Source organism: Homo sapiens, chromosome 17 (genome assembly GCF_000001405.40).
Source record: "Homo sapiens chromosome 17, GRCh38.p14 Primary Assembly".
NCBI lineage: Eukaryota > Metazoa > Chordata > Mammalia > Primates > Hominidae > Homo > Homo sapiens.
This window is the reverse complement of record NC_000017.11, coordinates 58,268,829-58,288,950: the sequence shown is the minus strand read 5'-3', so window position 1 is coordinate 58,288,950 and position 20,122 is coordinate 58,268,829. Positions and strand designations below refer to the sequence as shown.

General features: G+C 51.0%; 1 protein-coding gene across 1 annotated transcript, besides 32 other annotated features; it reads left to right on the top strand.

Moving 5' to 3' along the window:
- Positions 2,967–4,467: a DNaseI hypersensitive site, noted in NCBI's record as "HS-1; HL-60 promyelocytes; the nucleotide coordinates are approximate for this feature". NCBI's record gives the evidence for it as "EXISTENCE:in vivo cleavage assay evidence [ECO:0001075][PMID:1648980, PMID:1845843]".
- Positions 2,967–4,689: a biological region, named in NCBI's record as "MPO upstream enhancer region". NCBI's record gives its function as "regulatory_interactions: LOC106694315 | MPO".
- Positions 3,905–4,161: an enhancer, noted in NCBI's record as "-3844 to -4100 fragment". NCBI's record gives its function as "TPA and DMSO-responsive enhancer" and the evidence as "EXISTENCE:reporter gene assay evidence [ECO:0000049][PMID:9783807, PMID:18435917]".
- Positions 3,906–3,930: a protein binding site, noted in NCBI's record as "-4099 to -4075 probe". NCBI's record gives the evidence for it as "EXISTENCE:protein binding evidence [ECO:0000024][PMID:9783807]".
- Positions 4,074–4,689: an enhancer, noted in NCBI's record as "NANOG-H3K27ac hESC enhancer chr17:56361623-56362238 (GRCh37/hg19 assembly coordinates)". NCBI's record gives its function as "activates a minimal SCP1, AML or CMV promoter by ChIP-STARR-seq in naive H9 embryonic stem cells {active_cell/tissue: H9 hESC(naive)}" and the evidence as "EXISTENCE:reporter gene assay evidence [ECO:0000049][PMID:30033119]".
- Positions 4,092–4,115: a protein binding site, noted in NCBI's record as "F2 site". NCBI's record gives the evidence for it as "EXISTENCE:protein binding evidence [ECO:0000024][PMID:18435917]".
- Positions 4,137–4,165: a protein binding site, noted in NCBI's record as "F1 site". NCBI's record gives the evidence for it as "EXISTENCE:protein binding evidence [ECO:0000024][PMID:18435917]".
- Positions 4,137–4,165: a protein binding site, noted in NCBI's record as "F1 site". NCBI's record gives the evidence for it as "EXISTENCE:protein binding evidence [ECO:0000024][PMID:18435917]".
- Positions 6,517–7,517: a DNaseI hypersensitive site, noted in NCBI's record as "HS-2; HL-60 promyelocytes; the nucleotide coordinates are approximate for this feature". NCBI's record gives the evidence for it as "EXISTENCE:in vivo cleavage assay evidence [ECO:0001075][PMID:1648980, PMID:1845843]".
- Positions 6,517–9,363: a biological region, named in NCBI's record as "MPO proximal enhancer and promoter region". NCBI's record gives its function as "regulatory_interactions: LOC106677019 | MPO".
- Positions 6,736–6,936: a promoter, noted in NCBI's record as "-1088 to -1271 promoter; P3". NCBI's record gives the evidence for it as "EXISTENCE:reporter gene assay evidence [ECO:0000049][PMID:9001423]".
- Positions 6,982–7,207: a promoter, noted in NCBI's record as "1476 to 1701 minimal promoter fragment". NCBI's record gives the evidence for it as "EXISTENCE:reporter gene assay evidence [ECO:0000049][PMID:10639585]".
- Positions 7,066–7,083: an enhancer, noted in NCBI's record as "GATAPU site". NCBI's record gives the evidence for it as "EXISTENCE:reporter gene assay evidence [ECO:0000049][PMID:10639585]".
- Positions 7,092–7,493: a promoter, noted in NCBI's record as "-523 to -924 promoter; P2". NCBI's record gives the evidence for it as "EXISTENCE:reporter gene assay evidence [ECO:0000049][PMID:9001423]".
- Positions 7,168–7,197: a protein binding site, noted in NCBI's record as "GRE-1". NCBI's record gives the evidence for it as "EXISTENCE:protein binding evidence [ECO:0000024][PMID:9287329]".
- Positions 7,168–7,267: a response element, noted in NCBI's record as "-1023 to -928 fragment". NCBI's record gives its function as "G-CSF-inducible and IL-3-repressive regulatory element" and the evidence as "EXISTENCE:reporter gene assay evidence [ECO:0000049][PMID:9287329]".
- Positions 7,238–7,267: a protein binding site, noted in NCBI's record as "GRE-5". NCBI's record gives the evidence for it as "EXISTENCE:protein binding evidence [ECO:0000024][PMID:9287329]".
- Positions 7,425–8,525: a DNaseI hypersensitive site, noted in NCBI's record as "HS-3; HL-60 promyelocytes, KG-1 myoblasts; the nucleotide coordinates are approximate for this feature". NCBI's record gives the evidence for it as "EXISTENCE:in vivo cleavage assay evidence [ECO:0001075][PMID:1648980, PMID:1845843]".
- Positions 7,432–8,026: a promoter, noted in NCBI's record as "-583 to +11 promoter". NCBI's record gives the evidence for it as "EXISTENCE:reporter gene assay evidence [ECO:0000049][PMID:7769848]".
- Positions 7,886–8,026: a promoter, noted in NCBI's record as "-128 to +11 minimal promoter; P1". NCBI's record gives the evidence for it as "EXISTENCE:reporter gene assay evidence [ECO:0000049][PMID:7769848, PMID:9001423]".
- Positions 7,982–8,018: a protein binding site, noted in NCBI's record as "HBP1 binding site". NCBI's record gives the evidence for it as "EXISTENCE:protein binding evidence [ECO:0000024][PMID:11368363]".
- Positions 8,016–19,096, top strand: MPO (myeloperoxidase). Its single transcript, NM_000250.2, has 12 exons — positions 8,016–8,346; positions 8,492–8,585; positions 8,937–9,112; positions 9,305–9,428; positions 9,525–9,654; positions 9,737–9,943; positions 10,806–11,124; positions 13,249–13,409; positions 15,282–15,537; positions 16,033–16,203; positions 17,059–17,296; positions 18,088–19,096. The coding sequence occupies exons 1-12, from the start codon at positions 8,193–8,195 to the stop codon at positions 18,293–18,295; spliced, it is 2,238 nt and encodes a 745-aa protein (NP_000241.1). The 5' UTR covers positions 8,016–8,192; the 3' UTR covers positions 18,296–19,096.
- Positions 8,563–9,363: a DNaseI hypersensitive site, noted in NCBI's record as "HS-4; HL-60 promyelocytes; the nucleotide coordinates are approximate for this feature". NCBI's record gives the evidence for it as "EXISTENCE:in vivo cleavage assay evidence [ECO:0001075][PMID:1845843]".
- Positions 9,668–10,357: an enhancer, noted in NCBI's record as "H3K27ac-H3K4me1 hESC enhancer chr17:56355955-56356644 (GRCh37/hg19 assembly coordinates)". NCBI's record gives its function as "activates a minimal SCP1, AML or CMV promoter by ChIP-STARR-seq in primed H9 embryonic stem cells {active_cell/tissue: H9 hESC(primed)}" and the evidence as "EXISTENCE:reporter gene assay evidence [ECO:0000049][PMID:30033119]".
- Positions 11,489–12,444: an enhancer, noted in NCBI's record as "fragment F". NCBI's record gives the evidence for it as "EXISTENCE:reporter gene assay evidence [ECO:0000049][PMID:8390465]".
- Positions 11,489–16,696: a biological region, named in NCBI's record as "enhancer region in introns 7-9 of MPO".
- Positions 12,325–12,444: an enhancer, noted in NCBI's record as "PvuII/XbaI fragment (PX)". NCBI's record gives the evidence for it as "EXISTENCE:reporter gene assay evidence [ECO:0000049][PMID:8390465]".
- Positions 12,365–12,386: an enhancer, noted in NCBI's record as "FERE27". NCBI's record gives the evidence for it as "EXISTENCE:reporter gene assay evidence [ECO:0000049][PMID:8390465]".
- Positions 12,439–14,705: an enhancer, noted in NCBI's record as "fragment E". NCBI's record gives the evidence for it as "EXISTENCE:reporter gene assay evidence [ECO:0000049][PMID:8390465]".
- Positions 14,707–16,696: an enhancer, noted in NCBI's record as "fragment J". NCBI's record gives the evidence for it as "EXISTENCE:reporter gene assay evidence [ECO:0000049][PMID:8390465]".
- Positions 14,891–16,090: an enhancer, noted in NCBI's record as "P300/CBP strongly-dependent group 1 enhancer chr17:56350222-56351421 (GRCh37/hg19 assembly coordinates)". NCBI's record gives its function as "activates an origin of replication core promoter dependent on BRD2, BRD4, P300/CBP, MED14 and CDK7 cofactors, with strong dependence on P300/CBP, by STARR-seq in HCT116 cells {active_cell/tissue: HCT116}" and the evidence as "EXISTENCE:reporter gene assay evidence [ECO:0000049][PMID:35650434]".
- Positions 15,460–16,217: an enhancer, noted in NCBI's record as "KpnI/PstI fragment (J2)". NCBI's record gives the evidence for it as "EXISTENCE:reporter gene assay evidence [ECO:0000049][PMID:8390465]".
- Positions 15,852–15,887: an enhancer, noted in NCBI's record as "JKT41". NCBI's record gives the evidence for it as "EXISTENCE:reporter gene assay evidence [ECO:0000049][PMID:8390465]".

Sequence of the window (20,122 nt, the reverse complement as noted above, 5' to 3'; positions counted from 1 at the left end):
ATTTCGTTTTCTTTAAGAATACTTACCTTAGCTGGGAACAGTGCACACACCTGTAGTCTCAGCTACTCAGGAGGCTGAAGCAGGAAGATTGCTTGAGCTGAGGAGTTTAAGGTTGTAGTGTGCAATGGCTGTGCCTGTGAATAGCCACTGTACCTCCAGCCTGGGCAACAAAGTGAGATCCTGTCTCTATAAAAAAAAATAAGGGACTGGCGCAGTGACTCAGGCCTGTAATCCCAGCACTTTGGGAGGCCGAGGTGGGTGGATCACGAAGTCAGGAGATTGAGACCATCTTAGCTAACATGGTGAAACCCCGTCTCTACTAAAAATACAAAAAATTGCTGGGCGTGGTGGCGGGTGCCTGAAGTCCCAGCTACTCAGGAGGCTGAGGCAGGAGAATGGCATGAGCCCGGGAGGCGGAGCTTGCAGTGAGCCGACATAGCGCCACTGCACTCCAGCCTGGGTGACAAAGCGAGACTCCGTCTCATAAAAAAAAAAGAAAAAGAAAAAGAAAAAAGAAAGCAAAGAAAAAAGCTTACTTTGAATGTTTTTGAGGTTAAAAAAAAATTTGTAAGATGTTGCAAGTTCCGTAGAGAAACTTAATGACCAAATTTACATTTTTCAAAAAGGAAGTGCTTAGGAACAAACCTAACAAGAAACAAGCAAGCCCTATATGGGTAAAACAATAACATTTAAAGGAAAGATACAAAAGAAAACAAATGGAATGATACATTGAATTACTCAAGAATGTAAACTCCATGAGAGCAAGTAATTGGTTAACTGCTGTATCCCCAGGACCCAGAACAGTGCTGGCGCATGGTAGGTGCTCAGTACATATATGTTGAGTGAATGAATGAATGTACTGGGATAGGAAGACAATATCATACAGATATCAATCGTTACCAAATTTATGTATAAATTGAATGCAATATCATTAAAAATCTCAACAGGATTTTTTATGGAACTAGACAAACGTTCGGAAATTCTTAAGCAAGAGTAAATATGCTAAAATGCTGAAGACTATTTTTAAAAAGAATGAGGAAGGATAATTTATCTCGCCAGTAATGAAAACATATTAGAAAGTTATAGTGACTGTAATGATTAGGTATTGACATAGGAATAGATAGACTACTAGGAAGGTAGCGTAGAACAATCAGAAATACACACACATTTATGGTAAGTGACAAAACTAGTATCTGAATTCAGTGGAGACATGACAGATTATTCAGTTAAAGGCATTGGGACAACTGATTATCTGTTTGGGAAAAAAAAAAAGAAAAAGATGGCTCCCCACCTCATACCATTCACACAAACAAAATTCCAGATGGATTTGAGACCTAAGTGTAAAAACAAAGTGTTAAAGTATTATAAGGATATACAGGAAAATATGTTTATAATCTTGAAGAAAGGAAGAGCCCCTTAAAAAAAAAAGCTGAAAGAGCGAAATCCAAAATAAATACATAAAACAAAAAGCAAAATCCATATAAAAAAATTGATAAATTTGACCACCTTGAAATTAAGACACTATAAAAAACATAAATGAAAAGCGATGTACTAAAAAGAAATTTGGAACCTACATAACAACTGAAGGACTTTAGTGCTTACCCAGAATATAGAATACTTGTTACAAATCAATAAAAAGAGTGACAACACCATAGAAAAATTAACAAAACAAAACACAGGAAAGTTGCAGAAGATATAATTCAAATAAAAATATGCTCAACCTCACTATTAACCAAATACATAAAAGTTGAACCAATAATATGATTCCATTCTTTGCTCATGAGATTTTTACAAAGTTTGGAGGCTAGTTTAGCAATACGTATCTGTTAAGATTTTATTAGATACGGGGTCTTGCTCTGTCGCCCAGGCTGGAGTGTTCTGGTGTGATCATAGCTCACTGTAACCCTGAATTCCTGGGCTGAAGTGATCCTCCTGCCTCAACCTCCCAAGTCGTTGGGACTACAGGAGTATCACCGCGCCCAGCTAATTTTTTTTTTTTTTTTTTTTTTTTTGTAGAGACAGAGTCTCATTATGTTGCTCAGGTTGATCCCAAACTCCTCGGCTCAAGTGATCCTCCCACCTCGGCTTCCCAAAATGTTGGGATTATAGGTGTGAGCTACTGTGCCAGGACTTAAATTTTTTTTTTTTTTTTTTTTTTGAGATGGAGTCTCACACTATCACCCAAGCTGGAGTGCAGTGGTGCCATCTTAGCTCACTGCAACCTCTGCCTCCCGAGTTCAAGCGATTCTCGTGCCTCAACCTCCCAAGGAAGCTGGGAGTACAGGTGTGCACCACCACACCTGGCTAATTTTTGTATTTTTAGTAGAGATGGGGTTTCATCATGTTGGCCAGGCTGGTCTCGAACTCCTGACCTCAGGTGATCTGCCCACCTAAGCCTCCCAAAGTGCTGGGATTATAGAAGTGAGCCACAGCGCCCAGTGTTTTTATTTTTATTTTTTTTTGAGACAGAGTCTCGCTCTGTCACCCAGGCTGGAGTGCAATCATGCAATCTCAGCTCACTGCAGCCTCTACCTCCCAGATTCAAATGATTTTCCCACCTCAGCCCCATGAGTAGCTGGAACTACAGGCATGCACCATCATGCCCGGCTAATTTTTGTATTTTTTGTAGAGACGGGGTTTCACCATGTTGGCCAGGCTGGTCTTGAACTCCTGACCTCAGGTGATCTGCCCGCCTTGGCCTCCCAAAGTGCTGGGGTTACAGGCATGAGCCACTGCATCTGGCCTTAAAAATTGTAAATGAACAAAACCTGTGGTCCACTTCTTCATTTTTACCATGGGGAACACTTGTGTGTATGTACAACAAGGCCTCTCAAGGCATTGTTTTTTTTTTTGTTTGTTTGTTTGTTTGGTTTGTTTTTTTTTTTTGAGATGGAGTTTCGCTCTTTGTTGCCCAGGCTGGAGTGCAGTGGCAGTGGTGTGATCTCAGCTCACTGCAACCTCCGCCTCCTGGGTTCAAGCGATTCTCCTGTCTCAGCCTCCCAAGTAGCTGGGATTACAGGTGCCCACCACCATGCCTGGCTAATTTTTTTATTTTTAGTAGAGACTGGGTTTCACCATGTTGGCCAGGCTGGTCTCCAACTCCTGACCTCAGGCGATTTGCCCGTCTTGGCCTCCCAAAGCGTTGGGATTACAGGCATGAGCCACCGTGCCTGGCTGAGGGATTGTTTTTAATAGTGAAAAACAATGTTAAAATGTCAGCTTCCATTAATAGAGGAATGGTCACAAAATGGAGAGACAGGCCAACTAAGGAATATCATGTAAGTTAAAAAAGTGTGATACTACTCAGGAGGCTGAGTCAGGAGGATGGCTTGAGTCCAAGAGTTCCAGGCTGCAGTGTGCCACTGCACTCCAGCCTGGGCAGCAGAGTGAGGCCCTGTCTCTAAAAAATACCAAAAACCAAAAAACTTAAAAAAAAAAAAAAAAAGGTGAGATCACGCTCTAAGTGATACATGATAGATCTAAAGATGCACTGAGTAAAAGAAACACATTGCAGAACAATATGTATAATGGAATATCATTTATGGAGAAAAACCAGGGAACAGAATATTTCTCACAGATCCATAAATATGAATGAATGTAAAGTATTACTAAAAGATTTGGAAGGTCAAATACAAAAATGTCAACAGTGTTTGCATCTGAAGAGTGGAGGAAGGGGACTGGAACTGAGGATGATGCAATAACCTAATCTAAAAGGAGCTTTAGCTTGGTCTGTAATTTTAAATTTTTTTCCAAATATATCCAGGTATTACCTATAGAATTCAAAATTAATTAAAACAGTTGTAAAGAGAGATAAAACAAGATCTATGGGCTGAGTAAAACTGGTTTGTCTAAGCAGCCGCTGCCTCTGCCATCTCCCCAGCTTCCATAGCCTTCTGGGGGTGCCTCTTTCTCTCCAACCACACACAGGAAATCAGGCTGAAATCCCAACTGAATTATTTCTTAAACAGCATTAAGAAACAACATGCTGTTTTGCAAGCAGTAGCAGAGAGGGCCCGTTATCCCACCAGCAGCTGGGCTTCACCCTGGGGGTGGGGATATTTGGGAACTCTAAGTGGGCAGAAGAGACGGCAGTGGGGTGTGAGTGTGTTGGAGGCGGGGAGCTCTCTCAAATGACTATAGTCTTGAGATGTAGCAGTCCCAGCAGTGCCCTCCAGAGCCTACCCCCAGGAAGGGGACTGGCGGGTAACTCACATGGGACAAAGCTTATTTGAAATCCCTCCCACTCCCTTGAGCTGCATTCCCCTGGTTACTCTGCATGCTGAGAAGAGCTTTGAGCCTCAAACACACCTGGCCCGACAAATAGGGCCTAGATGAGGGAACGACAGAGGTGCAGACAGGAGAGGCTGACCACCTTGGGATAACCTCAGGTGGGTCATTATTAATTGGTTGAAAACATGTCAAGTCATAGAACATCTCTAGCCCTGGCACACACATGTGCATCCCCAGACCCACCCCCGGGCCAAAGACAGGGGCTTTGGGGAATCCACATCTTGGGAGTGCTCTCACCTCTATGTGGGTGGAGCACTCAGGGAGTTTAAACGTCGTTCTTGGAGAAGTATTTTCAAACACTCCTGGCCTGATTGCTGCCTGTGAGGAAGCAGAGCAAGCCTCTTAACAGGTGAATCGCTGACATGCTGCCTGCCAGGTCTCTGTGTCTGGGCCTGCCTTTCCAGCGCACTGTCCACACTGCAACCAGAGCAGGTGAGCTCTCCAAAGTAACTTGGACCATGCACTTCCGCTTCACAGACCTCATGACTCCCTGGGGCTTCGGGACAATAATTTCTCAGTAGGTCTGCGAGAATGTTGCATCCTGGGCCTCTGCTTGGCCCACCAGCCTCACCCTGTCCACCCTCTCCCTGTGTTGGAACTGAGTGAAGCCGACAGTGTCATTCTCTGGGCCCAGAATGCTCTTCCTCTGTGTCTACTTGGTCAGCTTTGAGACATTCTTCAAGACAGTCTCCAGAATCAATTCCTCAAGAAAGCCTTCACTGACCTCCCCCAGTTGATCCAAGTGCTGCTCTTCGCTGCTCCCTAAGGTCCCTGCATTGGTTCTGGGGGTGCCATTTGTTTGCCTTTCTGCTCCCCTCTGTGAGCTCCTTGAGGATAAGGCTCATGCTTTGCTCAGTGGAGAATGCTCAATGCCCAGCGCAGCACCTGACAAGGGCTCAGTAAATACTTGTTGAAGGAATCATTGAATGACAAGGGCTCAGTAAATACTTGTTGAAGAAATCATTGAATGAAAGGTCAGGAACAGGTGTCCAGAGGCTACTGGGTAAAGAGCACTGGTTTGGAAGTCAGGAGACTGGGCATGGAGATTATTCTGAACTGTGTCACACTGCTGACCTTGGTCAAGTCGTTTCCTTCCCTGGGCTCCTTCTTTCTCAGCTCTACAATAAGGGGCTTGCATTAAATATCTCTCCCCTGTTGAGCCTTGACAATTCCCTTAAAAGAGCGAAAGGACACTCAAGCATACTCAAGGTTGACAAGGGTGACAGGGGACAGGTGCTCTCATGCATGGCTGATGGGAGGATGAGGTAAAATCTTCAGCAGGCCATTTGACTATCAATATTAAAAAGCCCTAAAACACGCATACCCAAATACGCAGGAATTTTACTTCTTGCCTAAGGAAATAATTGACGATGTGGCGAGAGATTTAACTCCATGGATGCTTATCCTAGTACTACTTATAATAATGAAAATCAGAAACAACTCTAAGTATCTAATGAGATAGAATTAGTTAATAAATCATATAAAATAGTTATATGAAATATTATACAGACATAAAAATGAAGTAAACCTGTATTTATTGACACAGGGAGATGCTCAGACTAAAATTGTTAAGTACCGAAAGTAGATGGTAAAACAATATTTAAAGTTCTTCTTATCAATATTTAAAAATATATATTATGTTTACATATAGGATATCAAATTCTTAAATGAGGTATTGGTGAGTGGTGGGATTATGGGCAATTATTTTCCTTCCTATTGTTTATTTATGTGAAGACAATGATAAACCTTGAAAGAAAAAAGTACCCACAATCTCACTTGATGATGAGTAATTTTGATTTATTTTTATTTTTGCATACTCGTGTTCTCAAACTTTTCATCAGTGAAAATTATATTACTTAAAGGATTGAAAAATCATTTCCAAAAGCCTCTAAAATTCTAGAGCTTGATTCACAAAGAGCCACTCGACCAACTTCACACACAGCAAGTCACTGGCAGGGCAAAAGCTTGGTTCCCCTTCTCAGCAGGGGACAGAATCCCTGGACACACTGGGAAGATATTCTGGGTGTTGCTGTCCCTTGTCCCTTGGCCAAGAGGTGGTCTGGGCATAGAAGACAAGAGTGGGCCGGGCGCGGTGGCTCACGCCTGTAATCCCAACAGTGGGTGGATCAGGAGGAGGTCAGGAGTTTGAGACCAGCCTGGCCAACATGTTGAAACCCCATCTCTACTAAAAATACAAAATATTAGCCGGGCATGGTGGCGGGCGCCTGTAATCCCAGCTACTTGGGAGGCTGAGGCAGGAGAATTGCTTGAACCCAGGAGGCAGAGGTTGCAGTGAGCCGAGATTGCACCACTGTACTCCAGCTCCGCCAACAGTGAGAGACCCTGTCTCAAAAAAAAAAAAAAAAAAAAAGAGTGGGTGGCGGGAAGGTGGCTGAAGGTAGGAGGGGGAACCTAAATGGGACATGGGAGGCATGGTTGGCACGAGCTCAGCCTGACCAGGGCCCAGAGAGGTAGACTGATTCAGTCAAAAGTCGTAGTACTTTTCCTGCTGAGATTGGTGGCCCTTTTGCTGGGCTTTCTCAAGCAAGAAATATCCTCTTCTGTTTCAGAATTATTCTGAATCATTAACCCAAGTCCTCCCAACTGCACTGATCCTGTCCCAGAGAGGCCCTGGGCTGCATCACCTAACTGATCACTAACCACAACCAGTTCTGCTCTCTCCTGGTTCCTGAAATCCAGGAGCAGATGGTGGTGGGGAGGAGGAGTTTGGAGACAGCCCTCTACCAGAAGCCAAGAAGAAAGGGGAGTGAGGAGGGATAGAGGAAGTTATCTTGGTCCTGCGCCCACAGTCCCCAGGGTCCTCCTTCCTGTGAAGCCCAACGGTCTCCAGCCAGATTTCCTGTCCCCTTAGCCCCACCAAGAACCAGAGGCTGCCCATTGGGTGGCTGTTGGATGCAGGTTACTGTTGGAGTGGGGGATGGCCACCTGAGGCCAATTGGGTCATCTTTACTCCAGGTCTCCCTTTCATCCTCCTGTCTTCCCTGGGGGCACTCTATTCCCTGCAATTCCTTGGGCTACCAGTTCCTGACTTTTGTTCCTTTCAAAGGAACCCTGGATAACCAGTGTAACCAGAATTTCAGAGGGGTTAGTTGTGTGTATCCCCTGGGGACAAGCACTGGTATAGGCACACAATGGTGAGCTGAGAAATCTTGGGCTGGTAGTGCTAAATTCAAAGGCTGGGGACAGGCTGGGGCCAGTGGCTCATGCCTGTAATCCCAGCACTTTGGGAGGCTGAGGCGGGTGGATCACTTGAGGTCAGGAGTTCAAGACCAGCCTGGCCAACATGGTGAAACCCTGTATCTACTAAAAATACAAAAATTAGCTTCTTGCCTAAGGAAAAATACAAAAATTACTTCTTGCCTAAGGAAATAATTGATGATGTGGCTAGAGGCTAGGGCGTGGTGGCGGGCACCTGTAATCCCAGCTACTCGGGAGGCTGAGGCAGAAGAATCGCTTGAACCATTGCACATCAGCCTGGGCAACAGAGCAAGATAACGTCTCAAAAAAAAAAAAAAAAAAGGCTGGGGACAATGCTGGCCCCTCCTTTCCTGCCCCTTCCCCCCATTTCAGGGGCCCCTCTGTGTGTACCTTCCAACCCCAGTGGGGGAGGAGAAAGAGTTCAGTCTCCAGGATCAGACCTTCCTCTACCTCACCCCACCCCCAGCTTAGAGGACATAAAAGCGCAGATTGAGCTAAGAGGAGCTGACAATATCAGGTGAGCTGTGGAGGTGGGGTCCTTGGAAGCTGGATGACAGCAGCTGGCAAGGGGATAAGAGAGCAGTGAGCCCCTCCCTCAAGGAGGTCTGGCTTTATCCATAGACAGGGCCCTCTGAGGTGGGGCTGAGGTACAAAGGGGGATTGAGCAGCCCAGGAGAAGAGAGATGGGGGTTCCCTTCTTCTCTTCTCTCAGATGCATGGTGGACTTAGGACCTTGCTGGGCTGGGGGTCTCACTGCAGAGATGAAGCTGCTTCTGGCCCTAGCAGGGCTCCTGGCCATTCTGGCCACGCCCCAGCCCTCTGAAGGTGCTGCTCCAGGTAACAGTTCCCAAGGTGGGAGAAGATGGTGTGTTGGGGTGGTTGTGTTCCAGAGACCCCTTTTCTCAGAGCAGGCCTTCCTAGCTCTGGGGCCTGATAGGGGGTTGGGGCCCATTCCTGACTTTGTGATCCCTGCTCTGGGCAGCTGTCCTGGGGGAGGTGGACACCTCGTTGGTGCTGAGCTCCATGGAGGAGGCCAAGCAGCTGGTGGACAAGGCCTACAAGGAGCGGCGGGAAAGGTGGGGCACGAGGCACTGCCCAGCTCTGGGCAAGGATGTCCCAGGCCTTTCAGAGAAGCAGCAGGCAGCAGGGAGCTTGAAGGTGGGAGAGGGGGACTATGGGGACCCATGTGGACTCCCTTTCTGTCTGTCTGTCCCTGTGTTTCTGGATGGGAGAACAGCTTAAAAGCCATCCTTCCCAAAGCCTTGCCTCTGTCTGGACACCCAGGTCCATATCCTTTTTATAAAAGGAAGCCTTCCTCCCACCCGTGGGCCTGCCTGCATGGTCCTGCATGTCTGCCCCTGGGCTGGGGCTCTGCTGGGTGGGTCTGTATCCCTTCTCTGGCCCTCACTCCTCCTTTCTCCAAGCAGCATCAAGCAGCGGCTTCGCAGCGGCTCAGCCAGCCCCATGGAACTCCTATCCTACTTCAAGCAGCCGGTGGCAGCCACCAGGACGGCGGTGAGGGCCGCTGACTACCTGCACGTGGCTCTAGACCTGCTGGAGAGGAAGCTGCGGTCCCTGTGGCGAAGGCCATTCAATGTCACTGGTACTGTTGCCCATCACACCCCAGGTCCCTGCTCCACTAGTGACTCCTCCTAGGGACCCCAGCCGTCTCTCAGTGATCCCCTCAACTTCTTCCTCCAGGGAGTCTCAGGAGTCTCCAGGGCTCCTCAGCCTCAGGTTGCCTGGGATAGGAAGTGAGGCGGCTCAGCTCCCCCATTGTTCTTTCCCCCGGCAGATGTGCTGACGCCCGCCCAGCTGAATGTGTTGTCCAAGTCAAGCGGCTGCGCCTACCAGGACGTGGGGGTGACTTGCCCGGAGCAGGACAAATACCGCACCATCACCGGGATGTGCAACAACAGGTGCGGCTGGCTGGGGGTGGCTGCAGGAACCGGGCTCAGAGAGGCGTCCCGGACGCCACAAGCCTCCCGGTGTCAGCGCCCTGTCCTCCCCTGCAGACGCAGCCCCACGCTGGGGGCCTCCAACCGTGCCTTTGTGCGCTGGCTGCCGGCGGAGTATGAGGACGGCTTCTCTCTTCCCTACGGCTGGACGCCCGGGGTCAAGCGCAACGGCTTCCCGGTGGCTCTGGTGAGCGCCGGCGGGCAGAGGGGGCGAGGCCCGGCCACGCGGTGCGCGGACCCAGGCGCCAGCTGATCTCCGTGTCCCGCAGGCTCGCGCGGTCTCCAACGAGATCGTGCGCTTCCCCACTGATCAGCTGACTCCGGACCAGGAGCGCTCACTCATGTTCATGCAATGGGGCCAGCTGTTGGACCACGACCTCGACTTCACCCCTGAGCCGGCCGCCCGGGCCTCCTTCGTCACTGGCGTCAACTGCGAGACCAGCTGCGTTCAGCAGCCGCCCTGCTTCCCGCTCAAGGTGGCCCTGCTTCCCGCCCACTGCCTGGGTTGGGAGAGGGGAGATTGTTTCTGGAAGGGGCCATCTCCCTTCTGTGCCCAGGTTTCCTTTCCCAGACGCTGAGGAAGGCTGGCCCTGCCTCCCTTGTGTCCACAGCACTGGCTGCTCAGCTATGACCTGTCTCCTTCCTGCGCCTGGGCTCAGCCAGCTGGCAGCCAGGGCCGTCCATTTGCTCACTGCCTCTGGCAGGCCAAGGGAGAGAGGGTTGTTCCTCCTTGGCTGACAGGAGTCCTGTTGGTGGAATCACTGGCTCTTTGTTAGGTTGGGAGAGGGTTCTGGGAGGAGACCTTCTCAGTGCCCCCCAAGCCTCCATGCTCAGTCCTGTTTCCGCCCCACTGAGAGGGCAGCCCCAACCCCCATCACACAGAAAGAGAGAGCCTGGGGGTCTGGTGGGTGCCGTGGGACAGGGCTGGGAGTGGGCAGGGTGGTCGAGGCACTGCTGAGTAGGGAAGGAGGAGGAGAGAAAGGAGAGAGCGCCTGAGAGAGGGAGAGACAGACAGGAGAATGTCAGGGCCAGAGGGAGAGCAGGCACAGCAGAGAGAAGGGGAGAGAGACGGGCGACGCTTTAGTGAGGAGGGATCCGAGGCCTGGCGGTGCCCAGACCCAGGGGTTGCCCAGGTTCCCAGTTCAGTGTTCTGCTCATTAACCCTGCACCTCAGAGGCTGTTGCTGATGGCGCCCTAGGCAGCGATCCCTTTCGGGCCTCCGGAGGCCTCTCTGCAGGTTGAGGGTACCAGAGGTCCTGAGGGCAGGGGGAGATCCAGTTCTGCCTGGGCACCTTCCTTGCCCTCGGTGAGCCAGTCTAGCCTCTCTCTGTGCCTCAGATCCCGCCCAATGACCCCCGCATCAAGAACCAAGCCGACTGCATCCCGTTCTTCCGCTCCTGCCCGGCTTGCCCCGGGAGCAACATCACCATCCGCAACCAGATCAACGCGCTCACTTCCTTCGTGGACGCCAGCATGGTGTACGGCAGCGAGGAGCCCCTGGCCAGGAACCTGCGCAACATGTCCAACCAGCTGGGGCTGCTGGCCGTCAACCAGCGCTTCCAAGACAACGGCCGGGCCCTGCTGCCCTTTGACAACCTGCACGATGACCCCTGTCTCCTCACCAACCGCTCAGCGCGCATCCCCTGCTTCCTGGCAGGTCAGCTTTGGGGTGGGGACCAGAGGTGGCATAGGAGATGTTCCCTGTTGGAGCCACAGTGAGTCTGTTTGTGAGCAGCTTGTGGGTTTGTACTTAGAGAGACTGTCCTCACCAGCCATTACTATCAACTTCATGATATTAATCCAGTTGCCTTGGTAACAAGTCAGATGGAGCCAGAAAAGCAGAAAAGCAAACAACCTCTCCAACCCTAAGATGGAGACCCAGGCATGGCTGAGGAGCCTCTGTCCATCAGTCCATTGCTTTCTCTGTCCCTTTTTTCCCTTCTGGACTCTGGAAGACAAGAGAGTCAAATCCCTCAGGGGCAGGGAACTAAAGGACAGAGAACGCTGTGGTGCCCTCACCCTCTAGAGCGACACTATCCAATGTGGTAGCCACTAGCTGCATGTGGCTATTTTAATTTTAGTTATTTTAAATTAAATAAACCCAGTTTCTCAGCGGTGCTAACCACATTTCAAATGCTCAATTGCCTTACAGTCTAGTGGCTCCCCCTATTGGGTGGCACAGATGTAAAATATTTTCATCATCTCGGAAGGTTGAGTTGGACCACACTGCTCCAAAATATCCCCTCCTGCGCATCTTAATTACCCATAATAAGAGATGATGGGATTTTAAATGTAAACAATTGGCAGTTTTGGAGACACAATTGGGGCAGTGATGGCAGCCATGACCAGACATTTTCCAGTGTTTTTTTTTTTTCTAAGACGGAATCTCACTCTGTCACCCAGGCTTGAGTACAGTGGCACAGTCTCGGCTCACTGCAACCTCTGCCAACTGGGTTTAAGTGATTCTTCTGCCTCAGCCTCCTGAGTAGCTGGGACTACAGGCGCCTGCCACCACACTTGGCTAATTTTTTGTATTTTTAGTAGAGATGGTGTTTTACCATGTTGGCCAGGCTGGTCTCAAACTCCTGACCTCATGATCTGCCCACCTTAACCTCCCAAAGTGCTGGGATTACAGGTGTGAGCCACCGCACGCAGCCATTTTCCAGTGTTTTTAAATGTAAACCCAATAGTGGACCTCAGGCCCTTTCCTCTGGCCTCCCTCTGCCTCCTCCTGATGGTTCCTGCTGGTCTCTCCCTGGCTGGGACCCTGGGAGGAGGATCCAGGTCGGACTTTCTGCAAGAGATGCCCGACCTCTTCTGGGCTAGTTAGGCAAGGGCAGCCCTCCTTAGCCAGACTCAGCTGCCCACAGCCTGGCTTTGATGAGCCCCATGTCCCAAGCCTGGGTCATTATGACCTCTAGCTGTTCATGGATGGAGATGCTGCTCTCAGAGAATTTCCTTTCCACCAGCTTCTAGAGCTGGCAAGGACTGACCCTAGTGTCCTGACCCTAGCCCTCTGGCCCCTGCAGAGAAGGGTTCTGGGAGGACTAGGGGAACCAGGGGGGATCTGCTTAGTTTTCTTGAACAGTCTCAGGTGTGGACTCCACATATCTCATGTCCTAGCCCTCTCCCCTGGGGCAGGCTGCACCATTGGCATGTAGTAAAGGGCAGGGCTGACAACTCTGTTCAAATGGTAGTGGCTTTCTGGAGTCCTGTGTTGAGAAGGATTCTGAGGTTGCATCCAATTTTAGCAGGAAAGAGTGCTGTGATCGTTAGCTGCATCAGACATGGGCATGGATGTAGGCTGTGCCAACACGCATGCTTCTTCCCAGACACTCCTTGGAATCAAGAGAATCAATGAACCAAGCAGTGTTCATAAGTCTCATACTTTGTACCAGGCACTCTGTTAAGCCCCATGTATCCATATGTGTGCTAGGAGGGAGGGTAAAATATAAAAAGGCACAAGCCTTGGTCCTGTGCTCAAGGAGCTCCCAGTTTCAGGTACAGGAAAGTGGCATGTCATGTGTTGGAAGTGATACCTATTGAATGAGCATCCCCAACCAGCAGCGGCCCTGAGCTGAGGCAGAAGCTATCATTGTGGACTGGGGCATCAGGGAAGGCCTCCTAGAGGAGTGTAAATTGGGGATAGTTTGAAAAGATGGATGGGGAGGAGGGGTGAGTAGGAGGCATTTCAGGCCTTGGCTGGGGAGGGGGTTTCAGTGGAGCAAATCTTTTCTGGGATGGAGGCCTTAAGAATGACAGTGGCTTTTGCCTCCCCAAGGGGACACCCGTTCCAGTGAGATGCCCGAGCTCACCTCCATGCACACCCTCTTACTTCGGGAGCACAACCGGCTGGCCACAGAGCTCAAGAGCCTGAACCCTAGGTGGGATGGGGAGAGGCTCTACCAGGAAGCCCGGAAGATCGTGGGGGCCATGGTCCAGGTAGGCCGTCTTGAACACCGGGCACACGGGATCCAGATGTGTCCCTGCAACATCCTAGCTGTGTGACCTTGGGCAAGTTCCTAACGCTCCTGAGCCTTGCCTTCTTCATCCATGAGGCTGTAAGGATTATAATACATATATGAAAACACCTTTCAGATAGTAAGTGCTTGACAAAGCCTCCTTCCCTTCCCTCTCCTTCTTCGCAGGTTTGCTCCCTGCAGTCTTCTTTCCTGTGGGTCTGTTATTGGTGTTGGGAGGGTTGAATGTTTGGTTTAGCGCCCAAGTAGCTGTTCAGTAAATTCTTCTTCCCTCCATCTCACTGTCACTCTTAGCTCCTTTACCCACTCACCTCTTCTTTTTAAAATTAAAAAAATTATAGGGCTGGGCGCGGTGGCTCATGCCTGTAATCCCAGCACTTTGGGAGGCGGAGGCGGGTGGATCACGAGGTCAGGAGATCAAGACCATGCTGGCTAACACGGTGAAACCCCATCTCTACTAAAAATACAAAAATTAGCCGGGCGTGGTGGCGGGCACCTGTAGTCCCAGCTACTTGGGAGGCTGAGGCAGGAGAATGGCGTGAACCTGGGAGGCAGAGCTTGCAGTGAGCTGAGATGGCGCTGCTGCACTCCAGCCTGGGTGACAGAGCGAGACTCCATCTCAAAATAAATAAATAAATAAAATAAAATTTAAAAATTATTATTATTATTTTATTTTTATTTTTTGATACAGGGTCTTACCCTGTTGCCCAGGCTGGAGTGCAGTGGTGCGATCTTGGCTCACTGCAACCTCCACCTTTCAGGCTCAAGCCATTCTCCCATCTCAGCCTTCTGAGTAGCTGGGATTTCAAGCACGGGCCACCACGCCCGGCTAATTTTTGTATTTTTTGTAGAGACGGGGTTTCGCCACGTTACCCAGTGTGGTCTCAAACTCCTGGGCTCAAGTAATCCGCCCTCCTCGACCTCCCAAATCCCTGGGATTACAGGCACGAGTCACTGTGTTCAGCCCACTCACCTCTTCTTTTTGGCTCTGTCATAATCCACCCAATGTCCTTAGCCTCATTTACCCCTGGGGCAATGTTCCTGGTTCTGTCTCTCAACATCTGGTGCTTCATTGCCCCCACCCTCTCCCTCAGAGGCAGAGGCAGACATACACACACTCACACACACACACACACACACACACACACACACACACTCCTAGATTCTGGAGGAGAGAGTTTTCGGTGCTAAGGGTGAGTTTTTGATTTGCACTAAGAACTCAAGTGAAATTCATTTACACTCCAAAATAACTTCTAGACTCTAGAATGTAGAGTGAGACTATTCCATGTCTTCACTTTTCACAGGGAAAATCATGCCAGAATGGCCCTTCGTTCCTTCCTGCCTCCCTGCTTTCCACAAACCTAAACTGAGCCTTACTGTGGGCAGGCACTTGGTGGGCACTGTGAAGAATTTCAACAACTTCAATTTCCCTTGCTCTCAAGGACTTTATAAGATAGTTGCAGAAATGAGACATTAATAACTTGAGGACAAGGAAGTTATCACAATGACTAAAAAAGTGATTTGCTATTTAGTCCTCTAAGGCAGAGGGCAATATAATTATCCTTAATGTACATTTGAGGAACTCAGGCTCAGAGAGGTTAATAATTGGTCCAAGGTCACCCAGCCAGCAAGCAGTAGAACTCTATTTATGCCTCTCAGTGCCACTCTGTTAGGCCCAGGTCCGGTATTGTGGGAGGCTATTCCCTGACCATAGAGGGATGGAAGGGGTCCCCGAAGCCAAGAGCAGGCAGAGACTCTGGCCCTCCTGTGCTGCCAGGCGGCATTTGCTGTGGAGGAGTGGGTGGAGAGGCCATTCCAAATGACTTGTCTTTAGATCATCACTTACCGGGACTACCTGCCCCTGGTGCTGGGGCCAACGGCCATGAGGAAGTACCTGCCCACGTACCGTTCCTACAATGACTCAGTGGACCCACGCATCGCCAACGTCTTCACCAATGCCTTCCGCTACGGCCACACCCTCATCCAACCCTTCATGTTCCGCCTGGACAATCGGTACCAGCCCATGGAACCCAACCCCCGTGTCCCCCTCAGCAGGGTCTTTTTTGCCTCCTGGAGGGTCGTGCTGGAAGGTAAGCAGGACCTAGGCCAGGAGCGAGTGGGCTGACAGCTAAAGGTGGGGTAGGGATCACCTTGGCTCTAGGGAGCTAGGGTGGGGAGCAGTCTGCTTTCCTCCCATCTTGGAGATCTGGTCTGACTCTCTAGCCTCAGTTCCTCTGACTCTGCTTCCATATCTGATAATAAACAGTGGGGTGGGGATGGCCCTCAGAGGGAACTGGCTACTTCCTATGTGTTGTGGCTCGCTGTGACCCAGGAAGCCAGGGCCTGGGAGCATCCCAATCTTGCAAGTCTGAATGGCATAATCTCCTGAGACCTATATGTCCCTGGGGTCATGTAGTGACCGGTGAGGACCTGCTCACTGGGGCCACCACCTTGGCACCAGGCACTGCTTGTGCCCAGCCCTCTTCTCGAATCCTCCTGACCCTACCTGGACTTGTCCCTGACTCCAATCTGAGCTCTGATACTGAGCCAGATACTTCCCCTGACCTGGCTCCTCTGGTCCCCAGGTGGCATTGACCCCATCCTCCGGGGCCTCATGGCCACCCCTGCCAAGCTGAATCGTCAGAACCAAATTGCAGTGGATGAGATCCGGGAGCGATTGTTTGAGCAGGTCATGAGGATTGGGCTGGACCTGCCTGCTCTGAACATGCAGCGCAGCAGGGACCACGGCCTCCCAGGTGAGGGGCTGCAGGAGTCTCCCCTGATGCTCACCTCCCCTGAGCTGCCTCCTAGGTAGCCCATCACCCCCCTTCCCACTCTAGGGTCCCTGCCCTCTCCAAAGCATATTAGAGGCACTTTGCTCTCAGGAAGTAGCCTGAGGCCAGGCCCCTGCCTTTTCCCGGACCCACCTGATAAATTTCCAGCTCCTCTCAACCTCCTTTGCATGCTGTAATTCTCATATTAGGGGCATCGTCATCATAATGATAACCCACAGTCTGAAAATCTGTCTCTGTCATCATTCCATTTTGCTTCATTGTACGTTAACTCTGGGGGAAGAGATTATTATTGCCTTCATTTTACTGATGAGGAAACTGAGGCTTGATGAGATTCAGAACCTGGCCAGGTTCTCTAGCCAAGTCAGTGGCAAAGCTGAAATTTGAAGCCAGATTAGCCTAACCTCAAAGCCTGTGCCTATGTTATGGGGTAGCCCATGTGGCTGAGGCTTCTAGACACATTTCACCTCTCATGGGTCAGAGACAGACACATCGGGCTGCTCTGGAGGGGGACAAGGAGATGTCCCTATTCTTGGACCCAGCAGGAACTGTGGCAGTTTAGGGTTTGCCTTATGGTAGGAGGGCAAGAGAAAGACAGAGAGGGTCCCAGAGAGGCCCAGTTGTGCCCCTTGGTCTAAGCCAAAGGTACAGGGTTCCTTGAGGTGAGGTCCTTCCCTCCCTCTATGACCTTGGTTGTGTTGGGAAGGTGGGTTTTCTGGGCTGCTGGCGATATGTGAATCTTCCCTGCTGTCTCCAGTGACCTCCCCACCTTGAAGCAGAGAGACCTGCCCATAGCCACCTGTCCCCTCCCCCATGCAGGATACAATGCCTGGAGGCGCTTCTGTGGGCTCCCGCAGCCTGAAACTGTGGGCCAGCTGGGCACGGTGCTGAGGAACCTGAAATTGGCGAGGAAACTGATGGAGCAGTATGGCACGCCCAACAACATCGACATCTGGATGGGCGGCGTGTCCGAGCCTCTGAAGCGCAAAGGCCGCGTGGGCCCACTCCTCGCCTGCATCATCGGTACCCAGTTCAGGAAGCTCCGGGATGGTGATCGGTGAGGAGGGGCAGGCGTCGTGGGCCGCTGGGTGGCTGTGGGCCCATCCTTGACTCTCTTGGAGCCCAAATTTCCTCCTGTCAGTTGAAGGACTGGAGGGAGTCAGTAATTTTCCAGTGTGTTCCAGGAATCCTCCAGATGCCCTGGAGTGCCCCTAATGTGCCCTGAACCTGTTGGGGGTGCAGCAAGGAAAGACCTGGACCCCTGGTTGTAAAGGGTGGAAGATAGAAAAGTGCCACCCTTAGCTACTTCTTCCCATGGGTTTCACTGTGCCACCATGTGGGTGTCAGTCACCAGTGGGCAGTCCCCTCCCAGCTTTCCCACAGCTCCCCTTAGTGTCATTTCCTCGTGGTCCTGATGTCTTCATGTCTAGTTCTTGCTTAGCCTGTACTGCACCTTTGGGAAAATTAGAAAAAGGTGCCCCTCTCTGGGTGGGCGAATTATAAACCACCCCCAAGATTCTCTTCCACTCCTGTGGATGCAGCTCCTGGCCAGGGCACAGGGCTTCAGGAGTGTGTGTGGGCCCGGGTCCCCCTCCAGCATGGTGCCCTGGAGGCCGCCGGGCTAGGGGTAAGGGAAAGGCCACTGGGCAGCTGTGCTTTACTCTGCACGATGAGTGGAGCATCACTTGTGTGAAAGCCCCTGGGCTGCCCAAGGGCCTGGGGCCCTCCTGTGCTTCCAGGTGGCATTTGTTGTGGCTTTGTTATATCCTGGGAGCAGCACAAGCCCATCGATGCCCTGCCAGCCCAGAATATCCTTGGGCACAGTGTCCATGGGTGTTCCCCATGCAGGTTTTGGTGGGAGAACGAGGGTGTGTTCAGCATGCAGCAGCGACAGGCCCTGGCCCAGATCTCATTGCCCCGGATCATCTGCGACAACACAGGCATCACCACCGTGTCTAAGAACAACATCTTCATGTCCAACTCATATCCCCGGGACTTTGTCAACTGCAGTACACTTCCTGCATTGAACCTGGCTTCCTGGAGGGAAGCCTCCTAGAGGCCAGGTAAGGGGGTGCAGCAGTGAGGGGTATATCTGGGCTGGCCAGTTGGAACCACGGAGATCTCCTTGCCCTAGATGAGCCCAGCCCTGTTCTGGGTGCAGCTGAGAAAATGAGTGACTAGACGTTCATTTGTGTGCTCATGTATGTGCGAAGTATATAAATTGGCTTTTCATGCGTGTGTGTTGTCTGAACATGGGGAGTGTTTCATGGGTTATGTGTATGTGCCATTTATGTGAGTGTGTGTTTGTGCTGATGAGAATACTGAGTATGTGGAAGGCAGCAGAGCGGACTGGTGAGGAGCACAGCTCAGGAACTAGACTGCCTGGGTTCCAATCCTGGCTCTGTGGCTTGCTAGCTATGTGACCTTGAGCAAATTACCCTCCTTAAACAAGAGTTTTCTTCCTTGTAAATTACATCTGTCATGGTTTCTTGGAGGGCCCACTTGTATCCTCTGGTTCTTCATTTATTGAGCACCTACTACATGCAAGGCACTGTACTAGGCGTGAGAAGCATATAGAGGCAAGAAAGAGATACCAAGATGCCATCTGTGTCCTGGTTAGCAGAGCTGGACCAGTGGTGCCTTGGAGGGATAAGCCAGCTGCAGCTGGGCTGTGTGGTTGACTTATGGGCCCAGCCAGCCAGGCTCAGGCCATGGCTCCCCTTTTTCTTCCTCACCCTGATTTCTTGCTTATTCACTGAAGTTCTCCTGAAGAGGAACTGGGCCTGTTGCCCTTTCTGTACCATTTATTTGCTCCCAATGTTTATGATAATAAAGGCACCGCTGATGGGGACCTCCACTCTGTCTGTGTCTGAGGAGGAACTGGCGCTTTTGCAGAGGCTTACTCTGGGCTCTGAGCTTGAACCAGTGTGGTCTGTGCTCAGGGCCCTGTGTTTCTGAACCGAGGGTGAGGATGTTGGGGAGTTTTCCTTTGAGATCCGTACGTGGAGGGCAGCCATCTCTTGGAAGCCTGGGGGCCGGGGCATGCGGTGCAGACCCTCCTCCCTCACCTTCCACCCCTGCCACCCTGCAGGGAACTGTGGTCACCAAGCCCTCATGTTTGTTCATTGCTCTAGCAAACGTTTGCTATGTGTTCACTCTGTGTCAGGCCTGTGCCAGGGGCTAGGAAGTGGAGGGGACAAAATGCTGTGTGGTAGGAGAGAAAGTACAGAGACCTGGTGAGGAGGCAGGCCCTTCCCCAACAAGAGGGGCCTCTGCATCCTGCATCCCAGCAGCCTGGCACAGGGGTTCAGAGGCCCTCAAGACAGTGGACTCCTTCTCATTCATGTTGCACATGGCTCCTGGAGAAGGGAGAGCAGATGGCTGGGCCCAGAGGACAGGGCCAGCACTGAGGGAGGGGAAGGAGTGTATTTCCCTAGTAGTCTTGCCTGGAGCTTGAACCCTGCGTCTGACTGGTGGACTCCCTCCCTCTCCTCTTCCTTCTCAAATATGGGGAGGGGGCTGGAAGTGGTGTAGGACGGTGGGGTCTAATGTACTCATGGGGCCCCTGGTAACGTTAGGACCTCACCATGGTAAGAAGCAGCAAAAATACTGCTTGTCCTCATTTCTGTGATGAGGAGAGGGCTGCTCAGAGGGGTGAAGCGACTCGTCTGAGGCCTTAAAGAAGTGGGTGGCAGTGCCAGGCTGCAGCCGAGGTCATCTGGCTCCTGGGCTCTTCCCACAGGATGACTGGGTGTCTCCCACTCCCACCCCACCAGTTGGGGGATCTGGAGGCCCTGGTTGGGCTAATCTTTCCCAGGGGGTCATTTTAAAAGAAGAACATATGAATATGTATTGGGCAGAAACTCAAGGAATGTTCTGGAAG